We start from the raw sequence: 18,326 nt of genomic DNA, 5'->3' as shown, positions 1-18,326 counted from the left end.
AGGTGGCAGAATGTTCACAGTTGTGCAGGGCATCTGTGGTGTACAGCCCAGCTGCCCTCTGGGGTTGAGGGTGGGGTGCTCAGGGACTAAGTGCTTACTTACTCTGCAGCTGCTGAGAAAGCTGGCAGCCTGCAGCCCTGCTTACCCTCTCTGAAGACAGGGAGGTGTAGCACCCAAGGTCAGGTAGCCTACATCCAGTGACTTGTCAATGTGGAGTGTAAAAGCCCCATCCCCACCTCCTCCCAATTCAGGATGACCTGGCAGGGCCATGCCAGCTCCGGAGCTCCCCCTGCAAAGGGCTGCGGCCTCTGCCATGATTGCAGATTGCATCCCAAGTTAGCACTCTCTGCCCAGGTAATTCCTAAAAAACTTCCTGCCCATCACCAGTCTCCATCTGAGCCAGAATCCCACCTGTGAGACTAGGGGAAGGGGTCACAGATGTGGTTATTAACCCTTCAACATTTCTGTGCCTTTGAAACATTCTCAAAATAAAAACTTAGGGGAAAAGTAGTTAAAAGACAAACAGGACACCATTTATCACAAAGGGTTAGTATCTTTAATGTGTAAAGCATTCTTACAGATCAACAAGAAAAAGACAAATGGAGCAAGCTTTTTCTCATGTGCAAAGGAAATAAACAGGATAGTCGCAAAGAAACAGAAGACCAACAAATAGGAGAAAGATGCTCAGCCGCACCTGTAATCATATAAATGTACTTAAGCAAGAAAGAGCATTTTCACTTCTCACACTTGAGAGGATGTAAGAAAATGAATCGGGGCTGGCGAGGTTTGGGGAAGACGTGCCTCATTCAGCTTTCCTGAGCACAGTTTAGTAGAGTGCAGATGTAAACCCATCTAATGCATCATGTCTCTGTGCTTCCAAGTTCTGGGACTTTCTACAATATCCAAACAAAATAGCTGGATTTGCTGTGCCTCAGGCAAAGATTCCTGAGGATCCCTAGAGCCTCGCTTCCACAGTCAGTCCAAGCTTCCTGACTCCTGTTGACTAGCCACTTCCAGGACTGTGGTGCACTGAGTACTAGACGCCATTTCCCTGAGACGAGGGTGCATAGTAGGCCCTGAAGGTTTGAGGTGGGGCGTCTTGGACAGAGCAGAGCAGGACTCAGTGGAGCCACTAAATGCCACCCACCAAGGTCTGCAGCCTTAGCTGGCCTGCCCTGGGCCTCCTCCAGGCGGCTGGGCCCCACGCCCCCTCCACAAGCCAGACCACCACCCAGAGCTCAGGAGCCGCAGGCAGACAATGCCTCCCAAATTCCTTTACAATGCAAAGCGATGAAGCACTGTCTCATTTCTCCCAATCTTCCAATCTCCTCTGCTGTTCAACAATAGCAATGCACACTGAAAGACTCAAGAAACAAGTTTCCCAAACAAGTTGGCACTTTTCTCCCAAGCCTTCTTCCTAGGGATCTGGCCTAAACACCAGCCAGCACTTCAAAGATCATCCACCCCGCTCAGTACTCCTCCAGTGCACCAGCTTTCCATCACATGTACACAGCTTAAGGACCAGAGAAGTCAGTTATTCTCCATCTGCATATGGTATTCTAAGGAGCCATTTAAAATTATGGTTTTGGAGGTCATTTTACATGGAAAGATGTTTACAGGATGGTAAATGAAAAAGCAAGTTACAAAATAGTATAGCTATTAAGATTCTGTATTATTTAAAAAAAAAGACTTATGTATAGGCATAGAAAAAAATGTCAGGAGAGAAGGAACAAAAAATTAGTACAATTGTTATATCTGGTATAGAATGAGAGGCGATTTTTATTTTTTAATTTTACTATCCCTATTTTCCAGCTTTTCTACCATGAGCATGAATTATTTCTACAGAATGGTTCCAAAAATTGTCTGCTTGTCCCCCTCTGGAAGAGGGGGCCCTACTCCCTTCTCCCCTTCCCACCTCCTGTCCCCTCCTCCACCCACTGGGACACTGCCCTCCTCGAGGCCAGAGAACACTTTTCTCTCTTCAAAGATTCTCTTCTTGACCAAACTGAGCTTTGAGCTCCTGAACCTTCTCTTAGACCTATGCATGCACTTCCTTGTAAAATCCAGTTTTAGGAAGAACGTGGCTAAGTCAGGTTACCAACATCCTCCCACCCTGCCTATCTGATCACCCTCGATATCCAACTGGGTTCCCCCTCCTCCACCATCCCCAGGTGATGTCTGACCATCCTGGCCCATCTTCAGCAAGAATCCTGTTAGGTCGGCATAGCCAGAGTCCCCCCATACTCGTCTTAGTAATGTTCCAGCCACCACTCCCACCCTGTTCCTTGGCTATAAATTCCTACTTTCTCATGCTGCATTCGGAATTTAGCCTAGTTCTATACTGGGGTCTCTTACCCCTATTGCAGTAGTCCCAAATAAAATCTGCTTTCACCACTTTAACTACTGTTCAGTTCTGTGGGGTTTTTTTGTTTGTTTTTCTTGAACACCTCCTTATCTTCCTGGATGTTCAGCAGTGTTTGGCATTGCTGATCACACCCCAGTCTCTTCCTGAAACACTCTTTTCCCTTTGTTCTGTGAGCCCACTCCCTCCTTCTTCAGGATAAGATGTGAGCTCCTTTGCATAGCGCACAAGGCCCTCTATGCTGCGGGAACACAGGCTCCTCTTGCCCTCTGCTGCCTCCTCTCCCAGCAATCCTTCCACATATTCTTCTCACCAGCTCCTCAGATACGCTCTGGTTCTATCAAGACGTACTAGGCTGAGCATGGTGGCTCACACCTGTAATCCTAGCACTTTGGGAGGCTCAGCAGGGCAGATTGCTCGAGCCCAGGAGTTCAAGGCCAGTCTGGGCAACATAGGGAAACCCTGTCTCTACAAAAAACACAAAAATTAGCTGGGCATGGTGGCACACACCTGTGATCCCAGCTACTTGGGAGGCTGAGGTGGGAGGATCACCTAAGCCCAAGGAGGTTGAGGCTACAGTGAGCTGTGATCATGCCACTGCGACAGAATGAGACCCTGTCTCAAAAAAAAAAAAAAAAAAAAAAAAAGACAAGCTGCCTTCCTAGTACACATTTTACCTCTTTTCTTCCTCCTCCTCAGTCATCCCTGCATCCCCTATGGAGCAGTTTTTATGTCAGGCATTATGTAAGTACTTTACAACTACACCAACAGGAAATCCACTGCAGAAAACCCCCACTTAGAGTGATTTAGGCATTTATGCAAGGAGAACTTTGTAGAAAAAGTCCAGGGCGTGTATGCAAGCTCATATGCCATCAGCTCCCCAGGCTTGTTCATCCCTAACATGGTAGACTCCAAACTCATGTCTGTGCCTCCTGCTCCCATGATGGCTGCTGTGTCTCCAACACTGTATCCCCTTCCCAGGTAGAAGACAAGGAAGGAGCGAAGAGTTTTCTCCTAGCAAGATAAATCCTCCACAGGGACTTAAGTATATGTGGTCAGTTATGTCACATGGCCCCTTGTAACTGAAATGGGACATGTGTTTTACTTCTCCAGCCTCTATGGTAATAAAAACCAGGAAGAAGGGGGTTGTGAATGGCTTCCGGTTAGCTCATCACCAATGCCTGCCATACATTTCATCTTGTTTCAGTCTCATTTTACCTCATGTAATTCAAGCAATGTTATGATTTAAAGGTTTCTGTTACGTGCATTTCACCAGTGAGAAAATCAAGTCTCAAAAAAATAATACCTACTTTTTACAACCCAGGTCTGCCATCACCTCCTCCTGGCAGAATTCTTTGTATGCCCAACCCTAGGCTGAGTTAGTTATGTGCCCTCCTCTGTGCACCATAGCACCCTAGGCGTGCATCCTTGTTGAAATCTCCAGCTGTCCTAGAGTGGCCTGTGAGCCCCTGCAGTGGGCTGTGAGCCCCACAGGATAAGGCTCTGTAGCCCCCAGGCCTGGGGAGATAACAGGCCTGGAGCTGTACCTATGAGTGTTTGCTGAGTGACAAGCAAGGTGGTGGCCCTGCTCCATGTGGATGTGCCCAGACCCTGGAGCTCTAAAGTATCACATTAGGGAACAGAGACAAATTATAAGGTCCCAGAAGACCCGAGCCACCATGGGAAACGTTGGTGCATGGCTCAGCCAGAGTTCAGAGCACCCCCTGCAGGCTGCGGGTGTCTCTCAGTGACCACAGTGTCCTGAGGCCCAGTGACTTCCTGGGTGGAAACTGAGGCCTGGAGTGTTCCTCCCAGGGCAGTGAGAAAGAGAGAAATAGAAAATCCTTTGCAATGTGGTTTGTGTTACCGCAGCTTCAGCCATGGAAGGGGCTCCTTGAATTAAACAGGAAGCAGAAAATATCAGATTTAGATCCCACATTCCATGCATTGTATACAATTACGCGCTGGAGCCATAGAGGGGCACGTGGGACCCACAGAGGCAGAAAATGGGATTGCTGTTGGGAATGGGGTCGTTCTTTCATGGGAAACCAGTTGCATTCTTGACAGGTGGGCCGAGTCTTCCTGAGGTGCACACTTCACAACCCCAGGGGCACAGGTGAGGCCCTCTCATTTGCTTACAAGGCATTGGTGACAGACATGCTACCAGCTCCCACAATGATGGAGAGTCCCCTTCTCTGCAGCCCCCCAACACCGCTGCATATCTCTGGATTGTAGACCATCCTTGGTGGGCTCACCCCAACTCTCAGGCTCAACAGCCTCCTTTTTACCCATGACTCCTATGTCAGTCTCCAGCCCAGGTCGGCTTCCTGAGGCCCAGGGCCATAAACCCAATCGCATCAATAGGTCCAGCCCTTCAAACACTGCCTGTCTGAAACAGAACCCATCATCCTACCAAAAATATGCTCCTTCTCCAGGTGCCCTGCCACAGAGAATGATACCAATGTCCAGCCACTCACAAGAGCCAAACCATAGTGGTATCTTATCTCTTCCCGCCCACACCCATTGGATTCCCAAGTCTTGACCAACTCCTTCTCCTAAGGCCCTCTTACCCGTCCCCTCTTCTCCACCTGGGTGGCCATCACCCTAGTTCATGGGACCATTGTCTCTTGTCTGGATTGTTCTGCAGTCCAGCTCATCTTCATACCTTCAACATGCTCCAAAACCCTGCCCACGCCCTAGCTGGCCCAGCCACTCCTATGTCCCTGACCCTCTGATGGCGCTGTGTTGGCCTCAGGATCAGGCAAAGCCCTGGCCTTGGTGCACTAGGCTGTCCACACCCTGGCTCCTGCTGGCCTCTTCCCCCTGTTCCCTGGTGTTCCTATCCTGTCGCTAGGGCTTTGCACGTGACATTCCTTCTAATCTATTCTATCCATATTTCTTCAGGTTTTCCCTTGGACTTCAGCTCCTTTAGAAAGCCTTTCCAGACCCCCACCCACTCCCCATGTAGGAGGGCAAAGAAGTCCACTGAAGGCATCTAAAGTGTCTTATTCACTGTGTTTCTGTCTGTTGGATAAATGTGAGTGCAATGGTGACTGCTCGACTGCCTGGCACTACACTCAGACTCCTGGAATGCTGAAGCCTATACTGCTTTCTGTCCAGACCCTGAACTCCCTTTCTCTAAAGTAGGGCATGCCAATTTAAACAAAACACGGAGGACCATTTGCAGCCATGAACACGGCCCTGCAGACGGACAGGCCGATGAGCAGCAGAGCAGACAGGGGTTCCCGCCATCATCCCAGCTCTTCACTGCAGCCTTCAAGGGTCTCCCTCAGAACTTTCATTCATTGTCATACTTCATTCATGATTGCTCATCTTGCCTATAAACAAATCTGAGACAAATAATAAGGCATATCAATGTCCGTATTTATTCAAGAGATACATTGGGGAAAGTCATTTTTCAAAATCTTTTACTGTAGGATTTCTTCACTAAAATCTGTAAAAACTGGTAGATATTGTTGGTGATGCTGGTGGCGGTGGTTGATAGGCTCAGGAAACATGGCTGACATCGCCCTGCCGTGAATTCTGGTATAGTTAAGCCCAGCTTCTCTTTCTTTTTGTCACTGGGGCTCTGGGTGGAGGGAGTAACAGAACAGGGGCAGCAGTTTGCACCTTCTGCTGGCCCTGTTTGCAGACTCAGCTTTTCTTTCCCTGGGCTACGTTGGCAGGTGATACGATCTCTCTGTTCCTCACCCCATGGAGAGGTGAATCTAAAATGAGTGGGTCTGTTAGGGTCTGCATGTCTGTACGTTCCCCTTCTGAGGGGAACTGGCTCCTGGACCCCGTTGCCCTGCTCCAGCTGGGGACCCAAGTGCAGCCATCCCAGGCAGGCCCGGCCCCGGGAGGCCTCCACCAGGGCTCTGCCAAGCAGCAGAGGCTGCCTCTCTAAAGATCCCCTGTCGGGAGAGTGCCTGCCATTTATGGAGCGGGCAGGCAGTAGGAACCAGATAGGCGAGCTAGCTGGAGGCAGCAAGCTCAAGGGGACTGGGCTGCTGCGTGGCGTTCACTGTGCAGCTTGAAGAAGACCCCACGAAGCCTGGACAGAGCCCCAGCTTGGTAAATATTTGTTGACCGATCGGTTGAATGAAATGGTCTTGGGGCAGAGGGGGAGTGGTTTTGTAATGGGGACTGGCGGCGGAAACAGCAGAGTCCCGTCTCTCTAACGGCTAAACTTTAGCGCAAAACAGACACACCGATTAAGGTTCACCGTGTGCCAGGGCCAGGCTGGGCTTCTTCTAGGTGGTTGCGGCGGGCGCGGCTCAGCCTGGGTGCTCCGGAAGCTCCGAGCAGCGCAGGCCGACGGCGACCGTGCGGGACCCGCCCAGCCGCGCTTCCGCCCCGCCTCTGGCCACAGGCGCGAACTGCGCGGCCGCTGCCACCAGGGGGCAGGCCAGGGCAGCGGGAGGCAGGGCGGGGACGCGGTGACGCGGGCACTGCCGGGTCCCGTGACTGCGCGCCCCGCCCGGAGTCCCCGCCGCCGTCATGCAGTCCCCGGCGGTGCTCGTCACCTCCAGGTGAGCCAGACCCCCGCGCCCCACACCGCACAGCTCGCAGTCCGGGGCGCCCGGGCGGAGAGGCGGGGGGAGGCCGCCGCCTCCTAGGCCAGGGACCTGGTGCAGGTCTCCCCAGCGCCCTCGGTGGCTTATCCGGGCTGGGCCCCTGCACCGCCCTGCAGGAGAGGTGGCGACCCCGATTTACAGATGAGGAAACCGAGGCCCTCTGGAGGGTAGAGAACTAGCCAAGGACAGCGGGAGCCCTGGGACTGACTGGTTCAGTGCAGGCGGGCGCAGTGGGGACTCTGCTCTCCTTTCCTACCGCCTTGGGTTCTTCTCTTTTGAGCCCGAAAATCTAGTTCCCCATCCTTTCAGAGCTCCCTGAGTCCCAGGCCCGGTGCTGGGCACTGGGGACAGAGGCGAATCAGACAAGCTCGCCCTGCAGGGGGCTGCAGCGGAGAGGGGGTGATGCCAGCAGCGGGTAGTAAGCTCAGGTTGCCATGGGAACACAGTACAGGGCAGGAACCCGGTTTCTGGGAGGATGAGTTTGATGAGAGACCAGGGAGAGGTCGTTGCTGCTTGCGAGGCAGCTCAGGAGAGCGCAAGTTACAGCAAAAGCCTTGGAGGGGTCCAGGCGGAGGATGCAGAATGGGTCGGCCCTGATCGAGACCTGGAGGACCCAGCCCAAGGTGGATCCTGGCAAGGCTGGGAGGCACGTGCTTTTACTTCTTTCCGCCTTTAAAACGCTGTAAAGTGATTTACTTCAAATATTTTCATACACTTCACCCTTGCTCTCCCTACACAAAGTCTTAGGCTAAGATGCCAATTTATGACATAAATGAACGTGTTACCCAGCCAACTGTTGATCTTCCAGTTGTAATCAGGAATTCCCCGTGACTTCAGGTCTAGAAAGGTATGATTCCTTTTGTAAACCCTGATGTCGGAGGCTGCTTGGTCTTTCATGATCAAGTGTGGTTACAGTTGTATCTTCATGGGCAGAAGAGGTTTCCCTACTGCCACTTACGTCACCTCCTCTCACCAAGCCTCAGTTTCCTTTTCTGTGAATTGGAGGTTTCAGATTGGCAGGCATGAGCAACGTCAGTAGTATATGCCCCTCAGCCATGTGCAGATGGATGGGGTGTGACTTTGGTGCTGGGTGCTTGGGATGGGGTGGGTGGCTTCCCTCCCTGCCCCGCTGCACAGCCTGGACGTGGCTTGTTAACAGATGTGGGGGCGCTGGCGGTGGTAAGGCCACATGAGTCAGGCTCATTTCTTGCTGAGGGCACCAGCACACCCAAGGATCTTGCCTGCAGGGTGAGTCCAAACGCCTTAGCCCAGCAGCAAGGCCGGCCCTTCCCAGTCGCACCCCAGCTCCTCTTTCCAGCCCGATCTCCTCCCACATGTCATTGCCACATGCACTCAAGCTTGAATTCAGCCAGAAGGTGTTTATCGAGAGCCTTCTCTGTACCGGGTACTGGCCCTAGTTCTAGGAGACAAACAAGTCCCTCTCGTAGAGCTTTAATGAGGGCACAGGCCCAGTGGGCAAATCTACGACATGTCAGGGATGATACATGCTATGAAGGAAAACAAAACAGTGGGGGCAACAGAGTGGTAGGAGGCATGCATGCTGTTTTCTATGGTGTGGTAAAGAGGCATCTTTCTGATGGAGTGGCGCCTGGACAGATCCCGGACAAGCTCCATGAGGGAGAGAGCCATGAAAAAGAAATCTTGGAAAAGTGTGTACTGGGAGGACAGGACAGCAGGAGCCAGGGTCCCGAGGCTGGTATGCTGGAGTGGAGTGAGCCCAGGGAGAGTGTTAGGTGATGCGGTGAAGAGGCAAGCTTGGGAGTGAAGGATGATCAGGAAAGGCCGAGAAGGCTGTGGAGGGGCCATCAGATTTAATTTCAAGTGCAATAGGGCCCAACTTCTGGTTTATAGAGATCCTTTGGCTGCTATGCTGAGCATGGGCAGTGGCCGAGCTGAGCATTCAGGACAGGCTTGTAGGTTTCCATGTAGAGCCGGTGGTGGCTTGGCCCGGGGTGATGGCGGCCGTGAGGGTGAGAAATGTTTGGGTTCTCGATATATTTTGAAGATTGAGCTTTCAGGTTTGCTGATGCTTGGATATGGGGTGTGAGAACAAGAAGAGAAGTTAAGACTAACGGCAAGTCTCTCAGCCTAAGCTGCTGGAAGAATGAGGCTGCCCTTTAGCAGGCTTGGGGAGAGGTAGAAGCAGCATTTGTGTAGACAGGTGAGTTTTGAGAAGCTCGTTGACAGCCCAGTGGGGATGTCAGGCAGCTGCAGCTGGAAGGAGGCTGGCTGTGAGGGGAGAGTGAGCTAAAGATGGGAGTTGGGGAGCCATTGGCTCGGAAATGGTATTTAAAGCCTGGAGCCTGGATGAGATCACCTGGGGAGGGGTACAGTGAGAGGAAGAAGGAGGGTGCTCTGGATGCTATCAAGGGGAACCATCCAAAGCAGTTCCTCTCCTCCTGTTTGAGCAAGAGTGGCCAGGGTGGGCAGAGAAGAACCAAGAGTGAGGGGGTGCTCCAGCCACCAGTGAAGGCAGAGCTTGAAGGAGGGGAGTGGCTGACTGTGCCCACTGCTGCTGACAAGTCAGACCAGAGGAGAAATGAGGATTCACCTTTGGATTTAACCACATGGAGGTCGCAGATGACCTGGGCGTGGGCAGTTTGTTGCATGATGAGGACCAAAGTCTGGCTGGAAAGGGTTCAAGATCAAACAGGAGGAGAGGAACCCATGAATATGGGGCCCTCTGTTGAGGAGTTCTGCTGGAAAGGGCAGGAGGGAAACGGAGCAAGGGGAATGTCGGGTCAAAGCACAGCTTTTGTTACATGAGTGGTCAGAGCATGGTTGCATGCTAATAAGCGTGGGCCAGTAAGGAAGGAAAATCGATGGTGCGAAAAAGAGGGGTGAGCTGCAGCAGCTATGTCCTTCAGTAGGTGGGAGGGCCTCGGAGCCGCTGCCCTGGTAGAAGGTTGGCCTTAGGAGCAGCCAGCCAGTTTGTCTACAGTCCCAGGAGAGGGCAGCTATCAGGGAGCAGCTGCAGGCTGATGGGCAGATGTGACAGCGAAGCCTAGGATGTTCTCCGATGGTCTCTGGAGCAGTACACAGCAGTGTCCACATCACTTGGGAATTTGCTAGAGATGGTGAGGGCACACCCCGGGGCCTGCAGAACCAGAATCTGCATATTAACAGGATCCCCAGGGGGTTGCACGCACATTACAGTTGGAGAAGCTTGGTCTAGGGCACATCCTGCCCACCACACCCCCATTTGTTTATGTACTCTCCGTAGCAGCTGCAGCAGAGACCAGATACCCTACACAGCCTGAAATATTTGCTATCTGACCCTGTAGAGAAAGTTTTCCTATGGGTTCAGGGAAGTGGGAGGGTGATGGAGTAGGCCCAGGTGCATCAGACTCGTCGGAGGGCTTACTAAGAAAACAAGATGGCTGGCCACCCTAGGCCCGAACATGCCTTTCTTACAAGTTCCCAGGCGATGCTGATCCTGATCCAGGGACCACACTTTGAGAACCCCACATCTAGGGCAAGGTAGGGTTGCCAAGCCTGGTGTGGTGCTGTGCCTTCAAGTCTGCAGCCATGAATTTCAATGGGACCAGGCTGCATGTTTACACCATGTCTGTCCCCAGTCACGTTGAGCCACTTGGGCACAGGGTGAAGGAAGCAGAGAACTGGAGAAGTGGGCTTTGACCAGGCCAGCTCAGCTCTGGGTAAGAAGTCAGGGGAGCTGGGCCTAAGGCAGAGGGATTCCAGCAATGGAATGGGACCCTGGAAAAGGGGTGGGGTTATGGATTGTGGGTTCTGGCGTGGTCAGAGAACCATTGGATGTGGGGTGCTGTGAGGGAGCTGGATCGTGGGAGGTGCCCATCTGGGTCTGCTCCATCCCTTTCCCACCCCTGAGAGGACCTCCCCGCAGCTCAGGCACTGCCCTTCTTGTCACTTTCACCCCCCTGTGCCTCGTTTTCATCATGATCCTAAAGAAATGATGCCTGGCTTCTTTCTCATGCCTGCCCCATAAGAGGCCACCTGGGCTCTGGAGCAGCTGCCTGGGATTGAACGCAGCTCCACCTCATGCCGGGTGAGACCTGGGCAGGCACTTTCCCTTTAGGGGTCTGTTTCCCTGTATTTTAAGTGGGTCTGGGTAGCAGAGCTCCTTCGCAGGGTTGCAGGAGGCGGAAGTGACTTCACACAGGTGCATCCCTAGAGCCCAGCGCGTCTCCCCTCAGCATCCAGCCTCACCTTCCTCCTCCACACTGGTGGCAGTGACACCGTGGGTGACACCAGGCCGCGCGTGCACACTGCGTGAACTCGGTGCCGTTGGCAGAGGGCTGGCTGTGCGTGTGCACCTCCCAGTGCCCATTCGGCCCTTGCTGCACTTTTCACCACCTGAAGGCAGGTTGCCTGGGGTGCCCTACGCCGCGGGAGGATATTCCTTGTGTGTACAGCACTCAGTCATTGGGTGTCATACATGGCATAGGAGACGCATCACTGTAGGCCTCACCAGTTGGTGACAGCAGCGTTGTGCTGGTGACAGCGTGGCCTAGCGTGGGATGTGAGGGGTCCGTGTGGGAGGAGTGCTGGGGCAGGGGGATTTGATGGATTGGGGTATAATTCCAGAGAGGGAAGGGCCTTGCCCCAGACACAGGTTAAGCTCCAGAAGCTCCTCCCGTGTTTTCAGGGTCCTGCCCAGCACACAGGAGGTCTCACCTCGATGGTCAGAGCTGCTCAGAGGGTGCCCCACGTGTCCTGCCAGAGGTGTTTGCGTGAGGGATGTTAGTCTGCACAGGTCTGTGTCTCACCTTATGTAGGATGAGGGATGTATTTAATAACTTTTTCCACTTCAAGAAAAACATCTCATCACTTCTTTGCTCATCATACAATTCATTATATTCGAATTGCATTTTACAAATCTCCAAGAGCGGTGATGTTTTGCCGATGCATCCTCTCTACACCTCGAGGGGCAGCATCGACTGCCCAGATGAGGGACGGGCCTATCAGTGCCTCTCTGGGCCACGGTGGGTCACAAGGGTCCTGCCTCCAGTGCTCGTCCCGTGTCCCCCCCAGGGGGCCTGTAGCAGCCCTCCTGCCCATTAGCCAAAGAGAGGTGCCTGTCTCCAGCTGGGATTTCAATCCCTTGCTGTCCCTGCAGCCCCAGGCATGTTCCTTGGTCTGAGTAGAGGCCCTAGGATGCTGCTCCCACCCATTCTGCACAGAGTTTGTGTCGATCCCTTTCAACAAGCCCCATCCTTTCCTGTTTTCCTGCAGGGAGCAGACCTTTGTCCCTGAGCAACCCAAAGGCAGGACCAGGTCCGAGGCCTCGAGGCCTGGGAAGCCAGGCTTATGAGGGCTGGTGTGGCGGGATGGGTGGCCTGGAGCAGTGACCACTGAGGACAGCCAGCAGAGTCACCTGGCACCCAGGCCTGCCAGGCACCCAGAGGCCCTGCCTGCACTTTGCTCGGGAAGCCTACTGCCTTGACCCTGAACCCCACCTGCCTTCTTTTCCCCTGGCAGGCGACTTCAGAATGCCCACACTGGCCTCGACCTGACTGTGCCCCAGCACCAGGAGGTACGGGGCAAGATGATGTCTGGACACGTGGAGTACCAGATCCTGGTGGTGACCCGTCTGGCTGCGTTCAAGTCGGCCAAGCACAGGCCCGAGGATGTCGTCCAGTTCTTGGTGAGCCGGAGGCTCTGGCCAGGATGTTTCGAGGGTGCCCGGGGTCCGGGCGGGCAGACACATCTGCCCACCAGGGTTCAAGTAGCATCCAGAGCAAGTGCTTCTCTGTCTGTTGCTTGCTCAGGGCCTGGAGTACCAGACCATGCTAGACAGAAGGGACACAGGGTGAATCAGACGCTCTCAGTCCGTGGAGAGGCAGACCTCTAAAGAGACAGATACAGATGGGGACAGGAGCACCTGGGGGGCTCTGGGGGTATAGAGAAGGGGCACCTAACTGACCCTGGGGAAACTTCTTGGAAGAGGCGGTGGCTGAGCTGTGTTTTGAGGAACAGATGGGGCTCAGCAGGAGAGGTGAGAAGGGTGTCCCGGGCAGACAACACATCCTAAGCAAAGGCACGGAGGTTGGAAATAGGACATTGAGTGGGAACTCTGCACAGTTGAGTGTGGTCCTGGGAGGAAGCGGGGAAGATGAAGGTGAGTGACAGGCAGGATCCAGATTGTGGAGAGTCTGCGGGAGCCTGGACTTAACCTGCAGCCAAGGAGAGTTTTAAGCAGGGGAGTGACGTGGACCCTTTTGCCTTTAACCAGCCAATCTGCTGAGAGCATGGAGTTGGATTGGAAGGAACAAAACAGGTGTCAGGGAGCCCAGATACATGGCCAATATGGTCATTCCCAAATCAAGGGCTTGGAGCAGGCCAGTTGCACTTGGTATGGAAGGGAAAGGGAGAGTTGAAAATGTTTACTGGGTAACATGCACCACATTTGCTGACTGTTTCCACCAACTGAAATAAAGAATATGATGGAGGAGCAGACCTAGGGGGCATGTGGAGTGTGAAGTGTCTGCCCTGTGGATGGATACATGAGGCTGGAGCTCGGGACGAGCTCAGGCCTGAGATGTAGGCTTGGGAGTCATCAACTTGGAGGTGATATTAAAAATCTGGGAGTGGATCAAGTTGCCCAGAGAACAGAAGTGGAAGGCAGAGAGAAGGGCTGAGGAGGAAATCCTGAGGATGCCAGGGGTTCAGGGACTCTTGGGGAGAAGGAGGAGTCTGCAGTTGAGGCAGAGAGGAGAGAACTGGGTGGGTATCTACGGAGTCAGAGGAGCTAAGGGAGGAGAGAATTTCAAGAGGGTTGAGATCACACACTCATTGGCTTATTATTTACCATTTGGCCTCTTGTGAAAAGGACCTGCAGCTGGAGACCAAGAGACACAGGTCCAGGATTATTAGGACAAAGGTGAAATGAACTAGACCCCGAAGTACAGCAGGGAGTGACACGGGGCTAGCTTGGAGTCTCCTGGCAACCAAGATAAAAAGGGAAACGATGAGTTGCATCTTTCTGGTGACCTGTTGAAAGAGACACTAAATTTTAAGAGAAATTTACAGCACAAATGTTTCCTTTTTTTAAGAGATAGGATCTCCCTCTGTTCCCCAGACTGGAGTGCAGTAGTGTGATCATAGCTCAGTGCAGCCTGGAACTCCTGGGCTCAAGCAATCCTCCTGCCTCAGCCTCCTAAGTATCTAGGACTACAGGCACACACCACCATGCCCAGCTTTTTCTTTTTTAATTTTTTTGGTAGACATAGTGTCTTGTTATGTTGTCCAGGCTGGTCTCAAACTCCTCAAGCTGGGCTTAAGCAATCCTCCTGCCTCAGCCTCCCAAAGTGCTGGGATTACAGGTGTGAACCCCCACGCCCAGCCACACAATTTTAAGGGACATTCAACAACGTCATGAGAAGCGTCTAGAATAGCAATGCTGTTTTTCATTTGATTGCTCCTGTGGCCGACTCTTGGTGAGAAGCAACGTGTGATGTCAGGGGTGATTCTGGGCCTGCATTGCTCTGAGAGTGAATCTGCTTTACAGGGTGCTTTGCAGCTCCTGGTAATTTGACTTGATCCAGGTTGGAGCTCAATGCACCCACATTTTCAGAGACAGGAGCAGAAGAGGAGAGTATTTGAGCTTGATGTTGCGGGGCATGAAGGAGGGAGCATTCTGGGAAGCTTGGGCTTCAGCCGCCCAGCCCACTTGGTTCTGTGCAGAGGGCCGGCCTTACATGCAAGGTGTACATGAGGGTGTTTTAACACCTCCATGAATCACACTAGTGCCACTTTTTCCTAGGCAGTGACGCCCACTCCTCGTGGAGTGTGTGCGTGCAGGGGCTTGTCAGACATTTGAAAGTACTTGCGAGGGCAAAGAACTCCTTTACTCCCCATGGGATCTCAGGATGGAGCCTAAAGTTACATACCCCCAAGCCTGAAGTCTCTTTGATGTTTCATGAATTAACTCAAAGAATTAATGAGCATTTTGTATCTACTTAAAAGGGCATATGTGTTTTAATATAAACGTGTACTGATTTGCTGACCATGGAGTAAAACAGCCGCAGGAGGGGGCACCGCAGTGGAGGTTGTGCAGGCTCTTGGATGTGCTAGCAGTGCAGACACCCACAAGCTTACTAACGTTACAGGGCTGTCTGCCCCGTGCTCAGCAGTGCCTGGCACACGGGGGCACCAGATAAATGTGAGTTCTCAACCTTGAGCTTCCTCTGCTCAGGGTCTCTTACTTGGCCTCCTCTTGTTGCTGGTGCAGATGCCCACCCAAGAAGCCCTGCCTGAACCCCTGATGGACGTGGGCCCTGGGTGGGGTGGGAGCCCAGGCCTACAGCTCCGGAGTACTCACGATGCCAGTGCCCTGGAGATGGAGGTTCCCCGAGCCTGGATATGCTGGGTCTGTGGTCTGAGCCTGAGGGGAGCAGTCGGGCCAGCAGGGGGCGCCCGGCCCCCACCGTGGCCTGCTCTGCGGGCCGGGCTGGAGTCACAGCTGCTGTCGGAGCCTGTGTTAGCAATCGCTCTGGGAAGGGGTCCGTGTGCCTTTCCCTGAGGGCTGTTTTCAGGAAAGTCTGGAGCCAGGCTCTTGTGCTGACAACTGCAAGCAGCACCTGTCCCAGGTGACTCCCCACTGGAGGTTCTGAAATCCCCCCAGCTGCCTCCTGGTATCTTGACCCTTCACAGGCTGGGCATTCTGGGTGGTGTTGCTGGAGCCAAGGATGTGTGTTCCAGACACACCCTGCACCAAGGGATCTCCCCGAGCCCGAGGGCGTCAGATGCCCGCAGCCCCTGCACGCCAGCACTCCAGTGGCACACTGTGGGCACAGTCCGGGCCTGGGAGCATAAGAGTGAGTGACCCACACTTCAGTCGGGGGAGACAGGCCCAGTCTATGGGGAAAGCACAGAGGAGCGAGGAGTGAGGGTAGGTGCCAGGATGATGGTGTGTGCATACAGCAGGTGATAGAGGAGCTAGGAGTGAGGGTAGGTGCCAGGCCGATGGTGTGTGTATACAGCAGGTGACTTCGCTGAGCACCCACATGGTTACAGACACGGCGATGGCACTGAAACCACTGTGAGACTGAGAGCCTGCTGGGGTGTCTCTGTACAGAGTGAACATGCAGCAAGAGCTCCGTGAGTGAAGGGGTGAAGGCTTAGCTGCCCAGGAGCTGTGGGGAGAGGCCAAGGAGGCAGCGGGAGTCAGCCGCTGGCCCCACGGGAAGCTGAGTGCTGCCCTCTCTGAGTCAGATGGTGCTCAAGGCTGCCTTCTGATGACAGCAAGAGTCCTGGCCTGCTTGACTCGGGTGCCTGCGTGCAGAGAGGTCCTGCCTGACGCAGGGCAGAGAACAAGCCTTGGAAATATCTGTCTCCACTGCTTGCATTGGCTGGCCCGCCGAAGGCCACACTGGTTCACGGGAGAATGAGGTTGGTGCTGAGAACAGATGATTCACGGTGTTGCAGGAAGATGACCTGCCAGCCGGTGAGATCACCCTCCTGATATGCAGAAAGCTGGGAATGAACACAGTGGCCCTGATCACGTGCAGGCTGGGCAGGGGTCCCTGTATCAAATCTTGTTAACTGGACCTGTGACAGTGTCCAGAATGGCACCGTTATTGCATCTTTCCTCTGGGCCACTAAGATGTTTTTATTGAATCTGCTATCGGCCAGGCGTGTTAAGGACTGGAGCCTGAGGCTGGGAGACAGGCAGAGGGGCAGCAGGCGGGCGTACCTGGCACACTTCCTTTGGCTGCTGGGCCTTGGGAACCCCTGGTCGGGGTGAGAAAGGAGCACTGCCTGCCACTCTTCACTCAGGAAACCACATGCTCCTCTCATTCCAGGTCTCCAAAAAGTACAGCGAGATTGAGGAGTTTTACCAGAAACTGAGCAGTCGTTATGCAGCAGCCAGCCTCCCCCCACTACCCAGGAAGGTCCTGTTTGTTGGGGAGTCTGACATCCGGGAGAGGAGAGCCGTGTTCAATGAGATCCTGCGCTGTGTCTCCAAGGATGCCGAGTTGGCAGGCAGCCCAGAGCTGCTAGAGTTCTTAGGTACCCAAGGCTCTGCCCCATGTCCCTCAGGTCTCCCCGGCCCAGAACTAGGCCCCGCTGCCGTGCCCCAGTGGGAGCATGTCCACAGCTGCCTCTGCAGCCTGGAGGCTTCAGCCAGGCTGGTGAGGCAGGTGGCCTCGCTGACATCCTTGGCTGGATGGTGGGCAGAAGGAGGCCTACCCTTGAGGGACTGAACGTCTGGCTGTCAGGTGGGGGCTCACACAGCAGGCATTCTCCATAGTGTGACCCCATCCATGGCCTTCCTGGCCAGCCCCATTCCTAGAGCTTGCCCGACACCCCCCGACTGACCATGCACCACATACAACCCCCTGACACACACCCCACACTCCCCTCTGCCTCCTCCAACCAGCCCTAGGGACCTGCAGTATCCCGGGAAAGCTGTGTTCTCACAGCCTGGCTGGTGACCTGCCCCTGGGGACATGTGCTTCTCACCTGTGCCCCCACAGAGAGGGTCATGGGGACAGCTCCGGGCTGAGGAATTGATCCAGCACCCCTGCCCCCAGTGGTGGAGACGTCAAGCCCTTCCCATGGGTGTCCTGGCCCTGTCTTCTCTCCTCAGTTTTCTCATCTGTAAGGTGGGAGTAGCCTGGCTGATAGGCCGTTATGAGAATTTACAGAGCTAACACATGCAAAGTCCTTAGAACAGAAACAACCACAGTAAATAGTGGCTACAATTTTACCCCACTCCTCGGTTAGTCCTGTCAACCCAGAACCCCCGTGGGGCAGGCCCTGGTCTCACAGATGCCCCCAGGACAAGGCAGGTTCTCACCACTGCTGGTGCCGGACTCCCACCCCTTCTCCCCTCTTTACATCCGTCTGCTTAACTCCTTCCCAGCTACTGTGGATCTCCTAGTTCCACAAGACAGAAGGGAAGTTTTCAAAAGAAAGTTGACCGTAAATAAAACAAATTATTTAAAGTGAAAGGTGGGGAAGAGAAGCAAAACTGGTGAATGCGCAGGCCTAGGACTGGACAAGCTGCACAGCCCCGGTGTCCTGTGGCCATGTTGGGCCCCTCACATGGGTCTGGGTTCTCTTCTGCCCTTGTTGTTCCAAGGTCACAACCCTTCCTTCCTTGCCTGTCTCTGGGGCTGGGTAGACTGTGCCAAGAGGTTCCAGCTCAGCCATCGCTGGAAGAGATGCTCAGGATGTCCCAGCCCCTCTCTGGTGGAGAGGCAGGATAGAAACACAAGCTGCTCTATGCCTCACTTTGCTCATCTGCAAGATGGATGTACAGTAGGGATCTCTCTCATAGGGCTTTTGTGATGTTTAAATGTAAGATGCTTATGACATGAAATTGAAGGTTTGGGAGATTTTGAATGGCTTTTCACATTTGTCCAAGTAAAATAACAGAG

The 18,326-nt window shown here is 53.7% G+C and overlaps 1 protein-coding gene and 1 long non-coding RNA gene across 6 annotated transcripts in view, besides 7 other annotated features; one reads left to right on the top strand and one right to left on the bottom strand.

Annotated features, from left to right (window-relative positions):
• Nucleotides 1-5,725: 5,725 nt before the first annotated feature.
• LOC105373466 (uncharacterized) lies at nucleotides 5,726-6,644 on the bottom strand. The gene is made up of 2 exons (XR_001739320.2): nucleotides 6,574-6,644; nucleotides 5,726-5,951 (listed from the first exon to the last, which is right to left on the bottom strand). It is a non-coding gene; the product is annotated as an uncharacterized LOC105373466 (long non-coding RNA).
• Nucleotides 6,410-7,147: an enhancer, noted in NCBI's record as "H3K27ac-H3K4me1 hESC enhancer chr2:20850539-20851276 (GRCh37/hg19 assembly coordinates)". NCBI's record gives its function as "activates a minimal SCP1, AML or CMV promoter by ChIP-STARR-seq in primed H9 embryonic stem cells {active_cell/tissue: H9 hESC(primed)}" and the evidence as "EXISTENCE:reporter gene assay evidence [ECO:0000049][PMID:30033119]".
• Nucleotides 6,410-7,151: a biological region, named in NCBI's record as "H3K27ac-H3K4me1 hESC enhancer GRCh37_chr2:20850539-20851276".
• Nucleotides 6,562-7,151: a silencer, noted in NCBI's record as "silent region_11212". NCBI's record gives its function as "represses an Ori minimal core promoter by ATAC-STARR-seq in GM12878 lymphoblastoid cells {active_cell/tissue: GM12878}" and the evidence as "EXISTENCE:reporter gene assay evidence [ECO:0000049][PMID:35858748]".
• The window catches only part of HS1BP3 (HCLS1 binding protein 3), a 97,238-nt gene continuing 85,739 nt past the window's right edge, over nucleotides 6,828-18,326 (top strand). For all 5 annotated transcript variants that reach the window (XM_017004698.2, XM_017004696.3, XM_017004697.3 and 2 more), the window contains exons 1-3: nucleotides 6,828-6,894; nucleotides 12,421-12,586; nucleotides 16,746-16,953. In XM_017004698.2, coding sequence (XP_016860187.1) covers nucleotides 6,863-6,894; nucleotides 12,421-12,586; nucleotides 16,746-16,953 — 406 coding nt within the window. In that variant the 5' untranslated portion in view covers nucleotides 6,828-6,862. The remainder of the gene's footprint in view (nucleotides 6,895-12,420; nucleotides 12,587-16,745; nucleotides 16,954-18,326) is intronic.
• Nucleotides 7,232-7,381: an enhancer, noted in NCBI's record as "active region_15400". NCBI's record gives its function as "activates an Ori minimal core promoter by ATAC-STARR-seq in GM12878 lymphoblastoid cells {active_cell/tissue: GM12878}" and the evidence as "EXISTENCE:reporter gene assay evidence [ECO:0000049][PMID:35858748]".
• Nucleotides 7,402-7,481: an enhancer, noted in NCBI's record as "active region_15399". NCBI's record gives its function as "activates an Ori minimal core promoter by ATAC-STARR-seq in GM12878 lymphoblastoid cells {active_cell/tissue: GM12878}" and the evidence as "EXISTENCE:reporter gene assay evidence [ECO:0000049][PMID:35858748]".
• Nucleotides 15,116-15,245: an enhancer, noted in NCBI's record as "active region_15398". NCBI's record gives its function as "activates an Ori minimal core promoter by ATAC-STARR-seq in GM12878 lymphoblastoid cells {active_cell/tissue: GM12878}" and the evidence as "EXISTENCE:reporter gene assay evidence [ECO:0000049][PMID:35858748]".
• Nucleotides 17,082-17,583: an enhancer, noted in NCBI's record as "H3K4me1 hESC enhancer chr2:20840103-20840604 (GRCh37/hg19 assembly coordinates)". NCBI's record gives its function as "activates a minimal SCP1, AML or CMV promoter by ChIP-STARR-seq in primed H9 embryonic stem cells {active_cell/tissue: H9 hESC(primed)}" and the evidence as "EXISTENCE:reporter gene assay evidence [ECO:0000049][PMID:30033119]".

Source organism: Homo sapiens, chromosome 2 (assembly GCF_000001405.40).
Source record: "Homo sapiens chromosome 2, GRCh38.p14 Primary Assembly".
NCBI lineage: Eukaryota > Metazoa > Chordata > Mammalia > Primates > Hominidae > Homo > Homo sapiens.
Note: the sequence above shows the minus strand (reverse complement) of the source record. Positions and strands in the feature narration are given on the sequence as shown.